The following is a 22121-nucleotide window of genomic DNA, read 5'->3' as shown; positions in this document are numbered from 1 at the left end:
GTGAGAATTTCAGGACAATGCCAGAGGACTCGCAGTTTTCTTCTGCAGCTCTTGGAACATTCTTTCTGGGAGTCCAGAGCCCCTGAGGAAAAAGTCTGACTTCCCCGAGGCCACCTGTTGAAGAGGCCGTGTGTAGGTTCTCTGGGTGACTGTCCAGCTGTGCCCAGCCTTCCAGCCATCCCTGCCAAGGGACCAAGCATGAGACAAAGCCATGTGGGTCATCCACAGGAGTCCATCCACCAGCTGAGTGGGACCAAATGACACAGAGTGACAGGTGTGATGTAAAAGAATCACCAGCTGAGCTTGGTCTGAATTTCTGACCCACAAATCATGAGATATAAGGCAATAATCGTTTTTAGCCACTAAGTCTTGGCAAGGTTTGTTACACAGCAATAGGTAAGCAGGATAGGACGGTAAGGGAGGCTTGGGTATAATGCATATAAAACCCCTAGGCCAGTCACCAAATGGCATCAGATATTGTTATCCCCATTAATAGTTTTCACTGGCCCTCCCTCCTTTCAGCAGGAAGGATTTCAGAGCCAGGCCTTTCTGCTTGGCACCACTCAAAAGATGTTTGTGCTTTCACACATGGCGAGCAGATTCTGTTTCTCTGCTTGGAGATAATGTCCCAAGGAAGAAGCAAGTGTAGACGGGCTCAGACTTCAGAACTCTAAGGATGGCTGGGTGAGAAAAAGACCCCAGATGCCCCTGTGGGCAAACATAGACTTCTGCTCTTACATTTTACCCTCCCCTCACACACACTTATGTTACACACACCTTCTCACCCCCAAAACTTGGAAAGCTGTACTTGGAAGGGCAGAGAGGTTTTCCTGGTAATCCTAATCTTATATCATGCTCTAGAAAATAATTACAGTTGTGTCTCATGAACCCACACAAAGCTGTCCTGAGAGAACAGTGAGGAAACCAATGTCACACTCATGTTAAAATTCTCTCTCTAGCTCCATTTTGCTCAGTTCCAATGTTAAGAAAGGTAAACAGCCTCCCAGTGGAGAATGGCTGTAGCTTTCCGACCAGCAAATTCTGCAGTTTTCTTGGGGAAAAAAAATGAAAGACTGCTACTGTATTGATTAATTAAGCATTTATTCCACAGCAAGCAGAATCTTAGCAAATGATTCATGAAACTAAAAGGAGAGGGGAAAGCCTCCAACCCTAAAAGGTAAGTGCGCTCAGGTGAGCATTCTAATAAGAAAGTAAGAGTCATGGACTAGGAAGAGCTATTTGAATATGCGAGTAGAATGTAAACGAAGAAAGGGGTGCAATGATGTCATTTAAAACAACAAGCAGTGGGCGGGAAAAAGACTGGCCAGAGAAATCAGAGAATATGCAGATAATCGATGATTAGCTAAATGCTTTACAAGGTAGTTTTGGTAAAGGGTCTTTTTCCTCTGTAGCAGGTCAAGTGGATAGTATTGTATCAGTCCCTATGCCTGATGAGGAGCCAAACAAGTTCAATGGCATTCCGCAGTACCACACCGTCATCTAACGACAGCTATTCCATTTGCAAGCATAGGATCTGAGAGAACTTATTCCATTTCTAGGGGCATATACCTTGCATATTCAATCCTGTTTGAGAGGTTGTAGTTATCACTGGAAGAATAATTGAAATAAATTATATTTATTGAACACCTATAACGTGCCCAGAAAGATGCTTAGAAACTATGAGGTAATGCTGTCCCCACCCTCAAAAGAGATTAGCTTAAAAAGCAGTAAATACATAAGGAGAAAAAATAATGATAAATATTATGTGTCACTGGAGCTTACAGAAAGGAAATACCCAAAGCAAGCAACAGGATCCATGGTTTACCGTGACAGGAAAGAGGAAGGAATGACCAAGCCGAGTGGAAACCCAAATAGTTCTTGACGTTCAGTCTCCTTTGCTGGACTCATCTTTCAACTTGGGGGAGGAAGGGAGAAAGAGGGGAGGGGAACCAATCACTGGTGAATGCCTAAGAGGTGCTTGGGTTGTAAGAGCTGTTATTTCATTTATGCTTCACCCCCACTGTACAAGGAGGTGCTGCTGTCAACGAACTGAGGATTTCTAGAGGTTAAGGATCCAGCCAGGGTTTTCTGAGCTTAGATCTGAATGCAGGCCTGAAAGGGTCAAAGACTCATGCCCTTTGCTCTCTGGCAGGTCACACTGCTTTATACACAAGCCACTCCCCTGATTCCAAAACTACTGTGATTTTTGAGAGAGCTGCATGTAAGTTTGTGCTTTTCCAACCATAGATCAGTCATCCCCCAAATGACTGCCCTGTATAGGGAAGGACATTCCCCTTCTGCAAGAGATCACAAGTTAGAGTCGGAACTGAAACTGAACCTGTAAGAAGTGTGCCTGGCAAGAACTATGTGTCCTGTTACCGGCAGCTTTCTATGGAAGCCTGGCTGCATGTATTAGGAGACATATCAACTCAGGAGGAACTTCTTTAAATTGACAGTTTCTGACCCCAGCCAGAGAATTTGATTCAGCCGTTTTGTGGTGACAGCCAGGAATTGCTTCCCAGGTGAGTTGGATGCAGGCAGGCCATGGCCCATCTATGAAAATTTCTGTTCCAGATGCTTCAGATGCAGGAAGTGAACATCCTTTTCCCAGCAACCTTGGTCTCTGCCTCCCTGTACACCATAGGCACCATCTCACAAGAGATGGGGAAGTGCCGCTTTACAGAGGCCTTTCATTATGTTTCATGTTATATCAGTTAGGATCACGTCAGGAAAACAGAATTCACCCCAGACATTTCAAACAGAGGGAATCATGAAAGAGGATTGGTTACACAGGTGATGGAACCGCGGAGAAGCCACATAAAGATTAGTGACAGCTGGAGGCCACTCCACCTGCAGGGCTGGAAGGACAAAGAGGAAATGGTGTTACTGGTGGTGCAGAAGTTAAAGCCACGGCTGGCATGAGCAGTGGGTCTAGGGCTATGGAGGAAGGAGCTGTCCAGCAGCAAGAGAGCCAGGGAGGAAATGCTACCCATAGCAAAGACGGAAAGTCAGATGCTTTTCATGCCCCTCATCGAGGGGCTAGGGTGCAGTTCTAGAACCCAAATAATACCAGTGCTTAGAGAGTATTCTTTCTCAGTGGTCTAGAGCCTGGAGGATTTAACCTGAGAAAACTAGTTTTTAAAAAATTTAAAAATAAAGAAAAAATAAAGCCTAGAGGAGCCTCAGAATCTGCTGGATCCCCAGCTTAGAGATCTTGATGCAATAAGTCAGAGACAAGGCCTGGGCAGGGGGACTTTGAAGGGACTGTAATGTGCAGATAGGGTTAAGAACTGATGTATCAGAGCATAAGCCCCAAAAGAGCAGCAATGCATCCTCAGTAGTACCACAGTGTCTGGCTCAACAGGGTTGTGCAGATACTTAATATATAGGTATTCAATGAATGAATGAATAAAAGAACGAACGCAGAACAGTGATGAACCAGAGCCCTTGGTGATCCAGGTAGACCAGAGGGATGCCACAGCTGGGTAGGGGGAACGTGAAAAGAGTCAAGGTCAGAAGCAAGGCAGTGCTGAAAAAGATGAATCTGGACACTAAGGCTAATCCCAAGCAAAACATATTTTAACCTGAAATCAACCAAATGCCAAGAGACAGGCAGATTCCCAAAAGGAGATGCAAACCACTGAATCCAAAAGATGAGAGGTTAGCTGTGGATGCACTTTGTCTACATAGAGTTGCCATCCCCTGCGTTCATCAAGGCACCAGCAGTGAGTCTGACTCTGGCTTTACCATGGTTTTACTTCAGCCCTTTCCCTGACACGCAGGGTGCCCCACACCTCTCCTCCCATTTTGCCTCCTGACGTCTAGGTATTGTATGTCGCAGACAAGGTTCAAGGCAGTTTCCACAACAGTCCAGCTCATCAGTGGCACCGTTGGAGCTGTGTCTACCCCACGGGTTGGAGGAAACTATCCCACCTGGATATGAAGTCTTGAGCAAGCCACAGGTGCCCTTTGCCTCTCACTTTTCCAGTCCTTATGCCACTTCCCTTTCTGTCTTTTCCATTTCTCTCTCCTTTTCATTCTTCCACATCCCTCTTTCTTCTCATCACAGCTTTCTCCTTCCTTTCACTCTCCCTTTCCAATTCTCCCTTCCCAATTCCCAATACCCTGGGAGCAAAGCCTTCTTCAGTCTACATTTCTACTTTCTTCAGAATAAAACAGGACTAGTGTACTCATGTCCATGATACACGGCTTTCTAGAATAAAGGAGAGTGGGTTGCCTTGATTAATCCCCTGAGAAACTTGAAAACTTGGGACATTTCAAATTGGCATGAAAGAACTGCAGGCTAGGTCCCTGGCAGCTATTTAATCCAATCTGCCCTTTAACCAGCTCTTCTGTCCCCATCTCTGGAAGTTCCTATCAGAGAACACTGCCCTTTTCCCTGCATTGCTAGTACAAGGGTTGCTGTGTCTCCTAGCCCCAGGAGTTTCAGGGGCACCACAGCTGGTTGTCCCACAGCTTTCAAGATGTCAGAACTGGCCACAGGGGCTCTTGCTGTGAATGACCTACAAACAAGACCAACACACCCTAACCTGGTGATGATTCCCAAGTCTGGTTGCATGTCAGAATAACCTAAGGAGCATGAAAAAGGCATCCAGATGCCAAGACTCACCGCAGACATACTGATTAGGCTCTGCAGGAACAGAGTCCAGGCATCCAGCTCAATACCTCCCCACTCAACTCAGAGCCACCACCCTGGAGGAACTTTGGGCCTAGAAAGGTGGTGCTTTTAAACCTAACTCACAAAGAGGTCACTGGCCAGTGATTTTCAAATCCATTCACATTGTCTATGTAACAGCCCATGTGTATATTTTTAGGCCTACTATGGGCATTTCAAAATAAGCAACAACAGCAACAACAACAATCCACCATGGCAAAGTATCAACCCTTTTCTGCCTTATGGATTCAGACTTTTCCTAAATCCTAATTTAGACAGCATGGTGCATTTTTGTGACTTCTATCCCCCTTCTTTATTGCCCCTGATGGGAGTTCTAACCTGGTTTCAGATGAACAAGAATGCTACAGAGAGCATCAGGTGATTCACTCTTGGCCTCACCCAACAGGGACGGCGGGCATGGAGTATGACCATTGTGGGGACCAGAGCCTTCTCTCCAGCTCCGTCAGAGGGAATGGGAGAACATCCTGAAGTTAAGGGCCTCAACTTCCCATCTGTGCCCCCAGGATGGTGCAGCCCACCTCCTCCTGCCAAGAAAGGCACAAACACAGAACAGATACATGGGAGAAGAGAGTGTTGCTTACAACCTTTGTTGAAAAGTGTTCACTCCTGTTAGGACATGCATTAGGCCCTAACCCAGGGGCTCTGGGACATTTCTTAGCAGCAAAATCATGTGTTTTTTTAAGCTTCTTTCTTAGTAATCCCACAGCACAAATAGATAACAAAGAGCTGCTGTGGTTGATGCCGGGGTCTTCGTTGTCCACTCTCCTCCCCAACCCTACAGCAGCCCTTCAACCCTTGTATGGACCTCTAGGTTCCCATAAAACCCAGTTCAAACCATTGTCCTAACATTTGGTGCCCTCTTCTCTCAATCAGTACATTTTGTGCGGTTCAGGGATATGTCTGGAGATCTGCTGATGGCCCCATAGAATGGAGGGTCATGGCGGTTTGCCATCCTATGGTCACCCAGAAGAGACCAAGCAAATCATGTCACCCCTCTCAGTTTGGACTCTCCCAAAACTAAGGACTTTTCAGATAAGGACTTGGATACAGGTAATTTCTTTAGGAGAGTGATTGCAAAAAATCTGAGACAGGGGAGAAGAGACACTCCCCTGAAAGGGTGCATTACTGAGGTCTCTGCTGAGCAACAGGGGTTCAGCTCCACTGGGAAATGTACACAGTACCCCCAGAAGTATCTGCCTGAAGGAAAGGCAGCTGGGTATTTATCACTAGCTCTGGACCTCCTTGAAAGAGAGTTGCCCCAGGGCATTAACTCCCCACACATATGTGCAGGCACGCATGCACACACGTCTGGGTTGCACTTACACTCCTGCTGCTTGGATGGACTGTCCCCCTCGGAGTGGCTGAAATCAGACATGAGCACTTTTGGACCCATCCGTGTCGTTGGGGATGCCATGAGGCTGTCTTTCAAAGGCAGGACATCTCCTTAAAAATCATATGCTTATTATCAAAAACCACACAGAAAATGGAGGTGAGACTCTTCCAGGACTTTCTTCATGCAGAAACACCCATCCCCTGTGGATGTACTTTGAAATCCAAGGAGGAGTTCCTTATATTCACATCCACATATCTGTGCTTCTGCCTGAACTTCGGCATGGGAGGCTACCCTCCAGCTCCTCCAGGCTCCAAGAACAGGGGTTGGAGGATCCAGGCTGACCCTGCCCACCCTAACTGCAGAAAGCGCTCCCTTGATGGGCGTCTGCTGGCTGCATCTTTGGCTCTGGCTGTCCTCACAGGTAGCTAAGCTCATCCCCGCAGCAAGGCATTCAGCTGGAGCACATTCCAGCCATCAAGAGGGGCTGTGCCTTGCCCTGAGCTCAGCTGAGTGTCACCAGCGTAAGACAAGCGTGGCTTTTTCAGCTGGAACTCTTGGTCCCACTTACCATAAATTCTTCCACTTTGTTCAGAGAAAGCAAAACCCTTTTTTTCCATTAACACTGCCCTCAAGTGAGATTTAGCTTTTCAGAGCTGGTCTGCACCTGGACTTAGAGAATATTCACCACAGGGAAATATTCCCATGGGTATGAGAGGTTAAACCAACAGAATACAAAACTGTGTGTGCAGCAAGATGCCAATTCTACTAAAGAAAAAAAAAGAAAGAGAGCAAGAAACGCTAGAGGAATAAACCACAAGATGTCATTTGATCAAGGGTTCATGCTTGACTTAGGATCCTGGTTCTTAAAGTGTGACCTCTGGCCAACAGCATCAGCATCACCTGGAAACCGATTAGAAATTCAAATTCTCAGTCCTCATCTCTGCCTAGACTTACCAAATCAGAAGTTCCTGGGGGTGGAGCCCAGCAACCCACGAGATTCCAGTGCATGTTAAAATAGAAAGACCACTGACCTAGGCTCATTAATTAGGCACACCTTATTCCCAGTCCTAGGAGCTGGGAGGAAGCAGAGCTTCTGTCCTTCAGGAGTCCATGATGTGGGAGGAAGGAGAAAGCAAGTGCTGCAACAATAAAATACCAGGGAGAATAACCATATGGGCAACCCAGACAAAAGTAAGGGGTTGTAGGAAGATGAGTACTAGAAGCATGCACAGCAAAGAAAAAACAGGGGAAGGGGGAAACAAAAGTGAAAAAGAAAGGCGATCAAAGAATAAAATAATCAAAACAAAGCAGGGAAAAGAAGAAAGAAGTTGTGATTGGGCCAGAAGCCCAGCTCCTTAAAGCCCTTAGTGGTTCACTAGCTCATTTATCTGCTAGTCTGGCCAGCTTTCTAACAAGCACCAGGCATGTGGGCAGGTGCTAATTTGCAAGGCTGATTTAGCAAGTAAGTGCCAGTGGTAGAAAGTTGGAACCTCCTGTAGTCCTTGAAGTCTCCACACATATAAAAAATTGGAAACCTCAATATTTCAGTTCAATGCCTCTGTGAGGAACAGACAGCAAACAGCTTCTCAACACCTCTGCACCATCAGTAGAGAGGACGCAATGCCTAGGAATGCTAGAATTTTGACTGCTTATAAATAGCAAAGCCTTGAGTCAGATAGGCAGAGATTTCCTAAGCAGGCATCAATTTAAAAGTTTATGAGCCACTCCTTCACCCCATCCAATGGCACGTTTTACTGATGCTCATATATGGTGTAGTTTTGTCAGGGTGGGTCATTTTTTTTGTTTTTATCCATCACCTCAAGCATTTATACTTTGTATTACAAACAATCCAATTATATTAATTATTTTTAAATGTATGATTAAATTATTTTTGGCTGTAGTCACCCTGTTGTGCTAGCAAATACTAGGTATTATATTCTATTTTTCTGTAGCCATCAACCATCCCCATTTGGTATAGTTTTTAATCCTCTACCAAGTTCCTCTCTGGGCTCCTCACTTTGCAGTACATTAGTTGCTATGGAAACGATGAAGCCCCAGTGTGATGGTTATAGCTTAATGGCTGCAGAAAGTTATTTTGTACAATGATTGGATATTATATAAATATATACATATATAAATTATAAATAATATATACATATATGTGTACAGCATATATAGTATATACATATATAGCATATGTGCACGTATGTATATGTTACATATATTATATATAATATATACATATATGTATATCTAATATATGTATATATTATATATTTATATGTATACAATATATAATATATGTATATATTATATACTTATATGTATACAATATATAATATATGTATATATTATATACTTATATGTATACAATATATAATATATGTATATATTATATACTTATTCATGTACACACATAATATATATGTATATACTATACACACACTTGTGTGTACGTATATAGGTAAAATGCAGGACTTTAGGAAAATTCTGATAATTTAAAGAACTTCCCAAAGGTAACAGTACACACATTAAAGTTAAAATGCTAGGCATGTGGGACCAGCCCCTCCCACCACCTGGGCTATACATTGTAACTTGGCATATAAGAAGGGAATCTTGGGTGAGGAACCAGCAGGCCAGAGCAGGAGAAATCCTGGCATAGCAGATGGGAGAGCTGGATTCCTGCCCTGGGCCCCTCTCTAAGTCTGCACATTATCGCCTGGGTGACCCAGGACAAGCTCTTTCATCTGTCCAAGACTTTTTCCTCCTCGATGAGAGAATTGAACAAAGTGCTTCCTAAAGTGCCTTTCTGTGTGCACATCCTAAGAGTCTTACCATGCTTAATCAATGGTCTCCTCTGTTTACAAAGACTACCATTTCATGGCAAGGATGAATTCATTCATTTATACCCTCATTTATTCATCCAACAGCCATTCAATAAGCGTCTGTGTTCAGCCATGCTCTGACACTGATTGAATTCTGTGGGAAGTTGAAGAGTTGAGACTTCTGTTGAACAAGACTTTTGGAATGAAGAGGCCCCATAGCATGGAAACATGGTGGGATGTAGTAGAAACATAACTGTATTTCTCATGATCAGCTCTCTTAACTCTTAGCCTGGAATGCAAACACAGACCCAACCCAAAAGGACAGTTCCGCAATTCCATCAACCAAGCATTGCGCCCCAGATGATCAATTCCTCGTATCTATTTCAAAAAACCTATTGAGGCAGTGGAATTTATCTTCTGAAACTCTGTTATTCTCTATATCCAACTCACATGTCTTTGCTTAAGAGACAATGAACTGGTCCTGCCTGGGTATCCAAAAGTTCAGGATTAAAGAGATTAACTCAGTCTGGAAATGTCTCTAGGTTTCTTTGGTCTCTACTTGATCCTCACTTCAATATAAAAAATGAAAACTAAGGCCAAAATTCAGATTCAAAGGTTATTTCTTGGCAGTAAAATTCATACTGTTTTCCAAGCACGATATCCCAGGACTTTCCCTCTGAGTGAGTCTCTGAAACCCAAGGACTTTGAACAAAAGGGTCTATAAAATCCATGCTGGTGCAACAAGACATCAGCTGCCTCACTCTCTCCATTTGCTACCCATAAAGAAGAAGGCAGGGCAATAGCAGCCTCCTTATTAAGGGGGCTATTTATTAATTGTCCAGTGATAATTAATATCTACTTGCTCAACCATCCTGCCTTATAGGAACTGTTTTCTTCATAATTCAGGTGGGGAAAGTGGCAATCAAAGAGATTAGGCGGCATGCTCCTTGTAGTATGTTACGAAGCTAGGGTGAAGCAGGTCCATTTGATTTCAGAGCGCAGGGCAGTGTACACAGCAATGTATCAGTTGCCAATGACCACAATCATGCTCTGTAACAAAACTCCCTAAAAGTCAGGAGCTGACAACAGCTATTTCTCATTGCTCCTGAGTTTGTGGATCACCTGGGCCTTCTGCTGGTTTTGGTCAGTCCTCCCCATGCAGTTGGTTAGCCATAGGTTTGGGGCTATTCTCAGTGGGGCGCTCAGGTCTGTCAGCTGGTTCATGATGGCCTTGGCTGGGATCAGGGAAAATGGGACTCTGTTTCATGTGTAACAATCCAAACAAGCTAGCTCAAGCATGTTCTCCAGGTTATTACAAGAGCAGTAGGAGAACAAGCCCCAACATAGAAGCATTGTTCAAACTTATATGTCACACATCACATGTGCTAACATCCCACTGCCAAATCAAGCCACATGGCTGAGCCAGGAGTCAACTGAGGCCATTGATGTAAGCAAATCTACCCTAGACACATGGATCTCATATGCCCAACACCCTTTCTTCCTCCATGGGTGCAGGAAACATTGGTGGCAAGACTTTCACTTTTTTAAGGGAAATATTTAACATTATGGCATCCATTTGCAAACAGCATTGAAAATAAACCCATATTCTAAGGAATATGAAAAATGTTTTTTGGGTTAACATGTAGGTGAAAGAACTAAATAAGACCTGGCTTTAAAAAAACTAATCTTGAAAACAAATAATTTATTTTCTTTTTTCTTTAAGGTAAATTCAGAATTTCCTTTGGAACAAGTTTGGTTGAAATAAGGAGCCAACATCCAAATCTGAATCCTTATAAAGTCATCTTTTTTATAATTTATAAGAATCTTAGCCAGCCCCTGCAAATCAACTAATTTCAGAGAAATCTTCTTTTTAACCTTCTGGAGTGAGGATAAAAATTCAAATTTTCCTAAAGAAGAGGAAAAAAAATGAGTTAAACCACAAAGCCAGGGTTATTTCTCCTAGGCAACTGGATTAAGGCCAAAGATCCCAATGGCAGGGCCAGTTGACTTTATGACACTCACATGCTTAGATGGCACCTTATTCTCCCAATACCAAATGTCTGAATGTTTTCAGTGTTTTATAGACCAAACATTTGGATGCTTGACCACATTTTTCCATTTTCCATCTGGAAAAGAATGAACACTGTCTGAGATTTGTCTCTTAGACTTCCTAAGAAGATGACCTTGAATGCCTTAGAAGCGGCATCAATTCAACCCAGCACAAATTGCAGTGACTGTCCTTACAATCAGCTGCCTAAAGGGCATCTGTGTTAGGTAATCCAGAGCATTTGAATAAAAATTAAGGTTGAAGGAATTAAGATGGAATTGGGAGTTTATTACGTGTTCACTATGTGCTGGGCCCTTTTAAATATATTAACATTACCTAGGATACCATTGGCCTTCACTTTGCACTTAAGAAATGAAGTTCCATGTGCTTAAATGATTCACTCAAAGTCACATGGCTGGTCAAGAATCGAGCACCCTGTCATGCCCTTGAGAAGCCTGCAAGCACAGTGTCTGCCACACAGATGTCTTCTTTCAGGCATCTGTTTAGACACACACACAAATCAAGTTTGAAGAGTTATGAAAAGGAAACCGCTCCCTGCGATGTCTGTGATGTGTGTGCCCGCACACGTACACACGCCTGCCTCTCCTCCCAGCCTGCTCAGTCCTGTCCACCTAACCATCCTCTAGGTAAGTCGGTGGCACCAGACACAGTCCCCGTCCAGAGCAATGGAGAGCTGAGTGTTGACAGAATAAAAGAAAAGCCTTTGCTCCAAGCACCAGCTTTTATCCCTCACACCAGGGCATAGACAGCTGCTATTTAGACTTTGAGGTCTGGTTCACGATGAAGATCCCAAGATCAAAAACTCCCCCATCCAAAAGGAAAAGCAATCAACTTGAGCAAATTCACTATTCCATTGCTGCTGGCAAAGCTGGGAAAACACGGAAAGAGAATCAAGTGAAGGGGCTTGAAAGGGAAGAACAAGTGTTTGTGCCCAGCCATAGGAACTCACTGTATTCCTTCAGCTGAGGAGTTGACTAAAAATTGCATAAACCCAGGCCAAATAAAGTGCCAGGTCCACACCTTGAGTCAACCAAAGTTAAAAAACTTGGCCTTTCCCAGTCGGTTTTATTTTCAATATAAGCATTTCACTTTCAACCTGATGTAACGAACCTTGACTACTGTGCTTTCTACACAGGACCTTCTCCTCATGTTGGCGAGAGAATTCTTAGGAGTTGCCTTCCTTTTTACAGACAGTGTCTGACCTGAGCGATCACAGCTTGTCTGTCTGACCTCAGTGGAGCTTCTTAAACACAGTTGGCCTCTACCTGCCTGGATGTCAGAAAGGCGGCTGTGATGAAAATGGCTTCCACCTTCATCAAGGACATAACAAGCACCAGGCAACCAGCAGTGCCCAAGAGAGAGAGGCGGCTCTGTGCTTCATCTCCACTGACTGGTCAAAAGGGCAGCTACACTCAAGGTGGAATTTACACAGTGACTAAAACTGATGCTGCGCACATTCCTTGAGTCAAACGGACCGCTAACCATTGTGAGATGGCAGAAATGTCGCCTTTCCTCTCCAAACCCCAGTTTCCTGAATAGTAAAATGGAAAAGATACAAACTAACTAACTCGTAGCAGCATAGGGAGAAATAAACTCAAAAGCTAACAAAATGTGAGGTATTTGCTGTTTCATTATTTTTATTTTATTTATTTTATTAAGAGACAGGAATGGCCTTGCTCTGTCGCCCAGGATGGAGTGCAGTGGCGCAATTGTTACTGGTGGTGAATCCCTACAGGTCTGCAGCAACCTCGATTCTTGCCTCCTCAGAAGAAAGAATTCAAATGAGGCGCATAAGGCAGAAGGAGAGAACAAAGCAAGTTTTAGAGCAGGAGTGAAAGTTTATTAAAAAGTTTTCTGGCAGGAATGAAAAGAAATAAAGTACACTTGAAAGAGAGCCAAGTGGGTAACATGAGAGATCATGGTTTGACCTTTGGACTTGGGGTTTTATGTGTTGGCATCCTTCTGGCTCTTGCCTTACTTCTCCCCTGATTCTTCCCTTGGGGTGGGATGTAAGCATGCACAGTGGCCTTCCAGCACTTTGGAGGGGCCTCATGTGTAGTGTGTTTACTGAAGTTGTGTGTATGCTCACTTGAGGTGTTCCCTTAACAGTGTTTCTAGAGAAAGGTTATACCAGTTAAGCTCTACCATTTTGCCTCTTAGTGTGCATGCATGAGCCCACTCGCCCAGCTCCTGAGATCTTATCCAGAAGCTGCTGATCACCAGTTTTATGTTTTTCTATCTATTGGGAGACTGCTTTTCCCTGGTGCTGGCTGTGACCAATTATTACTTTGGAGAAACAATGTAACAACCGCCTGATCATCACCTGATGGTCACCTGACATTCCTGGTGGTGGCGGGAGCCCTCTCCTGCTGGGCTCATGACTGACTAGCTACCTACTGTAACACAGTCATGGATCACAGTAGCCTTGATTTCCTGGGCTCAAGAGATCCTCCAACCTCAGCCTCCCAAGCAACTAGGACTACAGGCATGCACCACCACATCCAGCCAAGTTTTCTATTTTTTGTAGGGACGGGGTCTCCCTATGTTGCCCAGATTGGTCTCAAACTCCTGGCCTCAAGCGATCCTTCTGTCTTGGCCTCCCAAATGCTGGGATTATAGGCATGAGCCACCACACGCAGCCTCACTTTATTCTTAAATGGATGAGGCCAGGCAACACTGATGAGTGATGGACTTACTCACAGTAACAGGCACCATTTTTGAGGGGCAACTCTGTGCCAGGCACTGCGCTAGTTGCCTCCCATCCGTTCTGTCCTTCAATCTTCACAACACAGAATTTTAAAGCAATGTCCAAGAGGTTGCTTGGTCTGTTATCTGAAGACAGCAAAGATTTACTCAGATTGGGCCTACCCCAAGAGAAACTTATCAACAGAAGTCATTAGCATGGATGCTGTACTAAATATTGGTAGACAATCCTCCAGGAAATATAACCCATTCTTGGGGCAGTAGACTTCTTCTGAATTCAGACATTTTCAAGTCAACCATCCACTTTCTTAGATTAAAAAGTATTACTGACTCCCAGATGGCAATATAGCTGGACCAAAACCAACTTCCTGAGAGTATTAGCATTAGATACCTACTTTGTGCCTGGCAGTGTACCAGACATTAGAGGGCTTCGGATAAATAGAAACCCTGCCCTTGAGTACTCCAATCCCAGCCAGCCAGCCACCCAGCACGTCAATCATTCATTCATTCAAAGGTGTGTATTGAGCTCCCGTCCATGTTATGTAAAGTCAGAGAGAACTGCTGCCTTTCCGGAGCTTACATTCTGGCTGACTTACTCTCAGGATATTGTTACAATGCAAAGGAAGATGGTTTAGAATCAATAGATGAGGAGCTATACTCACAATGGGAGAAGAGTTAGTTAAGTTTTCTGTAAGACAGTCCAGCAATGAGTATTAAAAGCTATAATATTTTATAATCCTTTGGCTCAGTAAATCCACTTTAAGAAATGTATCCAAAGGAAGTCATCCTATACGTAAATCATCATACATGTGCATGAAGATTTTTTATAAGGTTATTCATCATTGGTATATTGCTTAGAATCATACCAAAAAAAAAGAAATAATCCCAATCACCAATGAGGAATGAATTAAATAAATTATAGTACATTCTTTCATGCAGTGGAATGTTATGTAACCATTAAAGGTTATGTTCTACACATGTTGTTAAGTAAAAAATGGCAGGTCATAATACTGGGTCATCTTCAGGCTTTAATACAACTCCAATCATCAAGCCAGAACTGAAGGGTAATGTATGTTAATAAATTTTCTGATGGTGTGTTTAACAAATATTTCTTTTTTTTCTTTTTTTTTTTTTTTTTTGAGACGGAGTTTTTTGCTCTTCTTGCCTAGGCTGGCTTGCAATGGTGCGATCTCAGCTCACTGCAACATCTGCCTCCTGGGTTCAAATGATTCTCCTGCCTCAGCCTCCTGAATAGCTGGGTTTACAGGCATGCACCACCAGGCCCAGCTAATTTTGTATTTTTAGTACAGAGGGAGTTTCACCATGTAGGTCAGGCTGGTCTCGAACTCCTGACCTTGTGGTCTGCCCGCCTAGGCCTCCCAAAGTGCTGGGATTACAGGCATGAGCCACCGTGCCTGGCCACAAATATTTCTTTAATAATCATATTTTGCCATATTTTCCTTAAAATTCTACTCAGTACTACATCTATTGGGATATCCTCCTATTCTCTTTTTGATCTTTCCCATTCCCCAAAACTCCCAGCTTTTCTGCCTTTCTTCCTCACTACTCTCTTCTCTTCCTTCTCCTCTTCTCTCTCCCTGCACCCCCTCCCCCTTCTCTTCCAAATTCCTCCCCTTCCCTATTTTTCTTCCTTCTGGTATCTCCATGCCCTTTCCTGTATAGATCAACTTGGTCTCTCTCAGCTTGTCCAGATTTCTTTTCCACCAATCTCTCTACCCAGAATAATAAAGACATCCCTTCTCAGAAAAGGAGGGGAGAAATGCAGGCACTTATGATTTATTATTTTGTGTCTTTTATGTATATATACTATTAATATTGGATATATCTGAGTGTTAAGATGTAAAGGGATTTTATCTTATTTGCTTATTCAAATTTTTCTTTGATTTTTCAAAAGTCAACATGCATTTTGCTAAATGAGAAAAAATCTTTTTTGAATGATAAAAATATATTGGACACAGTAGCATTTAGAAGTCTCATAATTTTCCTTGAAGGAATTATAAATTTCCTGTGAATGTTGTTAAAAAATCATGCCATGAAATGGTGACCACCTTCTGGAGAGGTCCAGGACTGCTACAATGTCCCCAGGATGTCTCTAGGAGACATCTTCCATATTGAAACACTGAAGCCATATGGCCTCTTTTCAGTTAAAAATTCCCAACTCCTCTTCTCCTGCTGAGATTCAAATCCCAGCCACAGAAATGACAGGATTCTCAGTGTAGCAGACATGTCATGGAAGAGTGGTCTTTTTTTTTTAATCAACAAGGCCATGTGGTAGGCCACCTGCTTCAGAATGACTCAGGTACTTGGTATAAATGTCAGTCTTACACACTCACCCACTCAACTTTTGTCTTTCACTTTTTAGCCACATACACACAGACATGACTGCCACTGCAATTTACCAAAAATGGCTATGATTGTGACTGTATCTTTAACCTTCTATTACCCTCCCCAAACACCCGTGACTATGAACACGATGAGGACATACTCACATCATATACCTGTCCCAGCTCCAAGGCTGCACCTGGCGATGCAGGGACACAGGTCCTCCCTCATCTCCTCCCACTATTTTGGAATGTTCCCAGCTGGTGTTTTACAGATGTAAAGGCACAAATATTCCCATGTTCTATTGCAGGCCCTTGTCATGGTCCTTGGCCATCAATATCAGTGCCCTCCGTGAGCACACTCTTGTAAATCCCTCCTCCCAGAGCTGCCCAAACCCTGATTCCCAAGGTGCCGGAGCAGAACAGGATGCCTTGCTCCCCTATTCTGTGCTGCACCTCTTTGCCTGGACCTTGAAGTATGGATGCTTGTGCTCAGCATCTCAAAACACCTTGTGTAAACAAGTTCTATTGCCTTTTGTCTCTGGCTCTCCCCCTGGGAATTTTAAGCAGTCTCAGAGGCTGGGCAGGGAACCACCCCTTGCCATCCCTCCCTTCATTTCATCTTTCCTTGTTTACTACCAAAAATCTTCCTCTCTCTTCAACAACAGCATCAGCAAGGCATATGTATAACTCATGCAGACACTTGGCCTGGGAAATCGCCCAGTCTCCTGGCAGAAGGAGGTGGGTCCCAGCTCAAGCCCAGCCACAATCCCCTGCTACATCAGCTTCAGTCAATGCCTCTTTGGGTCTGCATGGGCTTTTTCAGTGCAGACTAGATACTTTGGGCCATGAGGAACATCACACCATCAGACTCCAAATCAAAGATCTGTGTGGCAGATTATATTTACCGAACATGGTCAAGTATGGGTGAAGCTTTATAACTCCTTCCCACAGAATGTGTCAGAAGTGATGCTGTATAATTTCCTAGGCTAAATCATAAAAAGTCACACAGCTTCCACCAGGATCCCTCTCACTCAGGACATGTAGCTTTGGAGCTCTGAGCTACTGGGTAAGAAGTCTGGCTGCCCTAAAGTCATCACCCTGAAGAGAACCCATGGAGAGACCACTGAGAGCAGAGAGAGATTCCTGTAGACCCCTGCTGTCCCAGCTCTGGCTGCTCACATCTTCCCAGCACCAACTCCCAGACACATGGATGAGTGAAGATTTCAGCCCTTGACCTTTGAGGTGCTCCAGTTGATGCCAAGGATGCAGAGATGAGCTACTGCCAAACTCTGATCAAATTGCAGATTTATGAGCAAAATAAATGTTGTCATTGTTTTAAGCCACTAGATTTAAGATGATTTGCTCCACAGCCATAGTTACCAGGACAATCTGCAAAACCTGGGCTCTGAAACTCCAAGGTCTCATAGGAACTAAGGTTGATTTTCCCTCCCCCCTGGGTGATCAAAGCTTAAATTACTAACACCAGCAAGGATGGTGGTCCATTGGCATGTGAGCGAGGAACAGAGCAGGACTACAGGAACATGCAGACACTTGGCCTGGGAAATCACCCAACCTCCTGGCAGAAGAAAGTAGGTCCCAGCTCAAGCCCAGCCACAGTCCCCTGCTACATCATCTTCAGCCAGTGCCTCTTTGGGTCTGCATGGGTATTTTAACTGCAGACTAGATGCTTTGGGCCATAAGGAACACATATGGAACCACAGCAGGACTGCTTTCTTGGCCTCCAGGATGTATCTGCTTCTATATTTTTGAGACCTACAGTCATTTGCCTACGTGAAGTCATGAACAATAACTGCTCTAGGAAAGAGGGACTTTGCACACTGAGCTTTGAGTCACAAGGAGATGGGGTCTTGGCTACTTGGATGCCTCCCTAGATAGTTGTCACACCAGCAGAGGCTTGAAGCCCAAAAGCAGACCCTGAGATGAGTATTTGACAGCAAGTGATTTATTTGGAAGGTGATCCAAGTAAACACATAGGAAAGTGGGGAAGGGAAGGAAGCCAATAACACATGTGCTATCAGGTCAGTTAACACTATGGGCAACGGAAATTCTGCTGGGGAACTCTGGGAGACCATGTCAAATGTGCTTCAGAATTGTCCCAACCAATGGACAAGGAAGGAAGGGTAATTTCCAAAGCCCACCTGGCCTGTGCCATGCAAGCCATGAGCATACTATGTAGAGAGTGGCAGGTGCTTCCAGAAGGATGCCATTGACACACATGAGAAAGACGAGCACTGAGGGCTATGGACAGGCATCAGCAGTATCTATCTGAGCCACCTTAAAGATGGACAAAGTGCCAAGGCATCTACCATAGTAGAGCTGGTGGAAGCCATCACTTGACTGCCTGGAGATATAATCACCTAATGGGTTCTTCCTGCCTGCTACACAGACAAAATCAATTCACTAAGACCATGGCGCTGCCTTAAAAAAAAAAAAAAAAAGAAGAAAGTAAAAGGAGTTTATGGCCTGGCGTGGCAGCTTATGCCTGTAATCCCAGCATTTTGGGAGGCCAAGGTGGGAAGATTGCTTGAGCTCAGGAGTTCAAGACCCAGCTGGGCAACATAGTAAGACCTCATCTCTACAAAAAAAATAGCCAGGTGTGGTGGCACACACCTGTAGTCACAGCTACTTGGGAGGCTGAGGTGGGAGGATCACTTGAGCCCAAGAAATGGAGGCTGCAGTGAGCCATGATCACAGCACTGCACTCCAACCTGGATGACAAAGTGAGACCCTTTCTCAAAAAAAAAAAAAAAAAAAGTTTAATTGGTGAGTAGGGGATGAAGTTCTCAATCAAATTAGTCTGGAAGGCTTGGAGGTTAGGGTTTTTCAAGGATAGTTTGCTGGGCAGGGGGCTAGGGAATGGGGAATGTTGATTGGTTGGGGATGAAATCATAGGAGTGTGGGAATTGTTCTTTGTTAGCTCCTGGGTAGGGGTCACAGGACTCATTCAGTCATGAGTCATTGGTCTGGGTGGAGTCAGCCAGTTATCAGGAATGCAAAAGTCCAAAAAACATCTCAAGAGACCAATCTTAGGTTCTACAGTAGTGATGTTATCTATAGGAGCAATCTGGGACGTTGCAACACTTGTGACCTCCAAAACAATGGCTGGTTATTTGTTAACTAAGCCTACATCTTAAAGAATTCAGGCTCTCCTCTCAAAATACTAACCTTGTGACCTTTCATTAGTTTCCTGAAGGCAGTTTAGTTTGGGAAGGGCTAACAGCATCTTTTTTTTTTTTTTTTTTTTTGAGATAGGGTCTATAGGGTCTAGCTTTGTTGCCCAAGCTGAAGTGCAATGGCACAATCACTGCTCACTGTAGTCTCAACCTGCCAGGCTCCAGCAACCCCCCACCTCAGTCTCCCAAAAAGCTAGGACTACAGGGGCATACCACCACTCCCAGCTACTGTTTTTTCTTTTTTTTTTTCTTTTTATGTTTTTATTTTTTTGGAGAGACGGGGTTTCCCTGTGTTGCTCAGGCTGGTCTCAAACTCCTGAGCTCAAGTAATCCTCACACCTCAGCTTCCCAAAGTGCTGGAATTAGAGGCATTAGCCACCATGCCTGACCAAGCATCCTTGTTTTAAGATTAAACTATAAACTAAATTTCTCCCAAGATTAGCTTGGCCTATGCCCAGGAATAATCAAGGACAGCTTGCAGGTTAGAAGCAAGATGGAGTCAACTCTGTCAAATTTCTGTTACTATTATCATTTTGCAAAGGTGCTTTCAATGATGGCTAGCTCAACGAGAGGTGTGCAGCAAGCACAAAGGTCCTGAGGAAGGAACATGGAAAGCAGGTTGGGAAATGAGGTCAGAGAGAGGATGGCAGCCCAGAATATGCAGGGCCTTCTAGGCCACAGTCAGAACTTTGTATTTTACTCTGAGTACAATGCGAAGCCATTGCGTGGTTTGCAGCAGAGCAGCACAATCCAACCTGTTTTTAAGAGAATCCCTCCAGCTGCTGTGCTGAGGAAGGATAGTAAGGGGTGACCAGATGGGAGACTGCCACAAAACTGCACACAACAGTTAACAGTGTTCTGGACCAGGATGGGGACTATGGAGGCTGTAAGAAATGGGCAGTTCTGGCATATTTTGAAGGTCAAGCCACCAGGAGCATGCACAGTGTGAACAAAGGGAAGCATCAAGGGTGCCTGGAAAATGTTTTGCCTACACTCCCAGAAGGGTAGACTTGCAATTAACTGAGACAAGAAAGACCAGGAAGAGGAGGTGTTGATGGGGAAGTGACTGGAGCTTGCTTTGGACATGTGAAATGGGAGATGCCTGCTGGGCATCTGAGTGGAGATGCCAAATAGGCAGTGGGATAGATAGACGTGAATTTCAGGGCAGAGATCTGGGCCAGACTGTTCTATGCAGACCTACCCCCAAAAAGTTCAAGGAAGCTGAGAGGCTGAAGAAAGAGGCTGACATAAGCAGTTTCTCAGAAAGAAATATTTAACAGGGACTTAGGAACAGAAGCCACATCTGTATCTCGGGGGACAGCAAGACAAGGTGGTGGATCCCTGTGCCATCACCCCCAGACCCAGGGCTTGTATGCCATAGGGAAGTAATGTGTAGGACAATTGAAGCCAAGCCCCCACTTCTCCACCAGGGAAAGGCAAGAATGCTATGTGAACCTGCCTAAGGACAGGACCTATGGTCAAGCTTGATTTGACCTAAGGGTAGGATTTTTGGTATTAGTAGATAAAGTAGAAATCTTAGAGGCATTCCCAGAACAGAGGTTCATCAGAAGTCAACATGGCAGATTAGCATTCAAGATGGAGATGCTTTGGCCTCCACATGAACATATACCTTTGAGGACAAAAATGAATAATAACCCCATTAAACTGGAGGGTGTCTGTAACTCCCCTACTGATTATTGCTGGGCTCAGACAGTTGTTTTGGAAGTTGACAATGAATCCTTCTGGCAGCCCGTAGGATTCCCTTCTTGGTCTTCAGACAACCCAGTAGGATCCCTTTAGTAGGGAAACATTTCCAACATTTATGTGGCTCCCAAATTTTCAGGGCATAGGGCTGGGCTTTCACTCATGTCCAGGTCTCTCCTTTGCTCATCCCCATAGACCTTTTCTGCCCAGGCTTGTCTCTTGGTAGCTGTCTCTTGGGTGGTTGACAACTCTGAGAGGTGCCGGTGAATGGCCCCTTTATGTCCTTCCACGGATACCAATGGAGAATCAGCACCCCTTTGGCTTCAGGCACTGGCTGTTGACATTAAAGCCAAGGATGCTGGGGGAGGCAAGTTGAGCAGACACTGTCCTTGTGCAATATGGGCCCCAATGCACAGATCCAGTTACAATCTGGGACGCTCTGGCAGGGGTGGATTAGCCTCCCCTTCTGCTAGGCCCCTGGGAGGGAGGCTGAGGGGAAATCCACTGCCCCACAGATGAAGCCCAGAGCATCTCCTCTGAAGGAGTGTCATGTGAAGCTGAGCCCTTTTGGAGGTGCAGCCCCAGGGTGGTGGGGTGACACCACCAGCCCCGTGTGGACTGGACTATGGGAGACCTCTGCAGGCCACCCTCCTAGCATCCGAAAGCAACATGCCATTTCCAGTGGGTCGTCTGGACATGTTCTGAGGCATACTGGAAAAGGACCCAGATCTGCAACTTCTCTGATACTTGGAACTGCTGAATTTTCATGTTTTATGTGAGATGTTCTCATCCAAGAAGTCCCGAGTTTCCTAATAGGAACATGGTGTGTCTGCCTGAAACATTTGGCCCTTGGAAATGCTCCACATCTCCAGCCAATAAACCGTGATCTAAAACAGCCTGGGCTGCTCACGGCTGCTTCCAGCAAGATGGAAAACAAGCAGTTGGATGATGGTGTCTGAGAAATGACAGTACCAAATTTGTGCTGCGGAAACATCGCCCCCAAAAGCCACAGAGACTGAGTCCTGCCATGTTGCTCTCCTTGTCCCTTATATTTTAAACTGACTTATCAAAAGTCTATCTGGAGGGCTTTGGTTTTCTCTTGAACAATTTGACCCCAGGCCTCCTGGCAGTTTTTGTCTTTATAAAATTGTAAAATCCTTTTCTCTTTTGCTAAAAATGTTTTAGGGTCCATGTATATTCTTTGCTTCAGGAGTACTCAAGTAAATCCCAGCACTTTGGGAGGCCAAGGTAGG

The sequence above is a fragment of the Homo sapiens genome, chromosome 20, assembly GCF_000001405.40.
Source record: "Homo sapiens chromosome 20, GRCh38.p14 Primary Assembly".
Taxonomy (NCBI): domain Eukaryota; kingdom Metazoa; phylum Chordata; class Mammalia; order Primates; family Hominidae; genus Homo; species Homo sapiens.
This window is presented reverse-complemented; position numbering follows the sequence as displayed.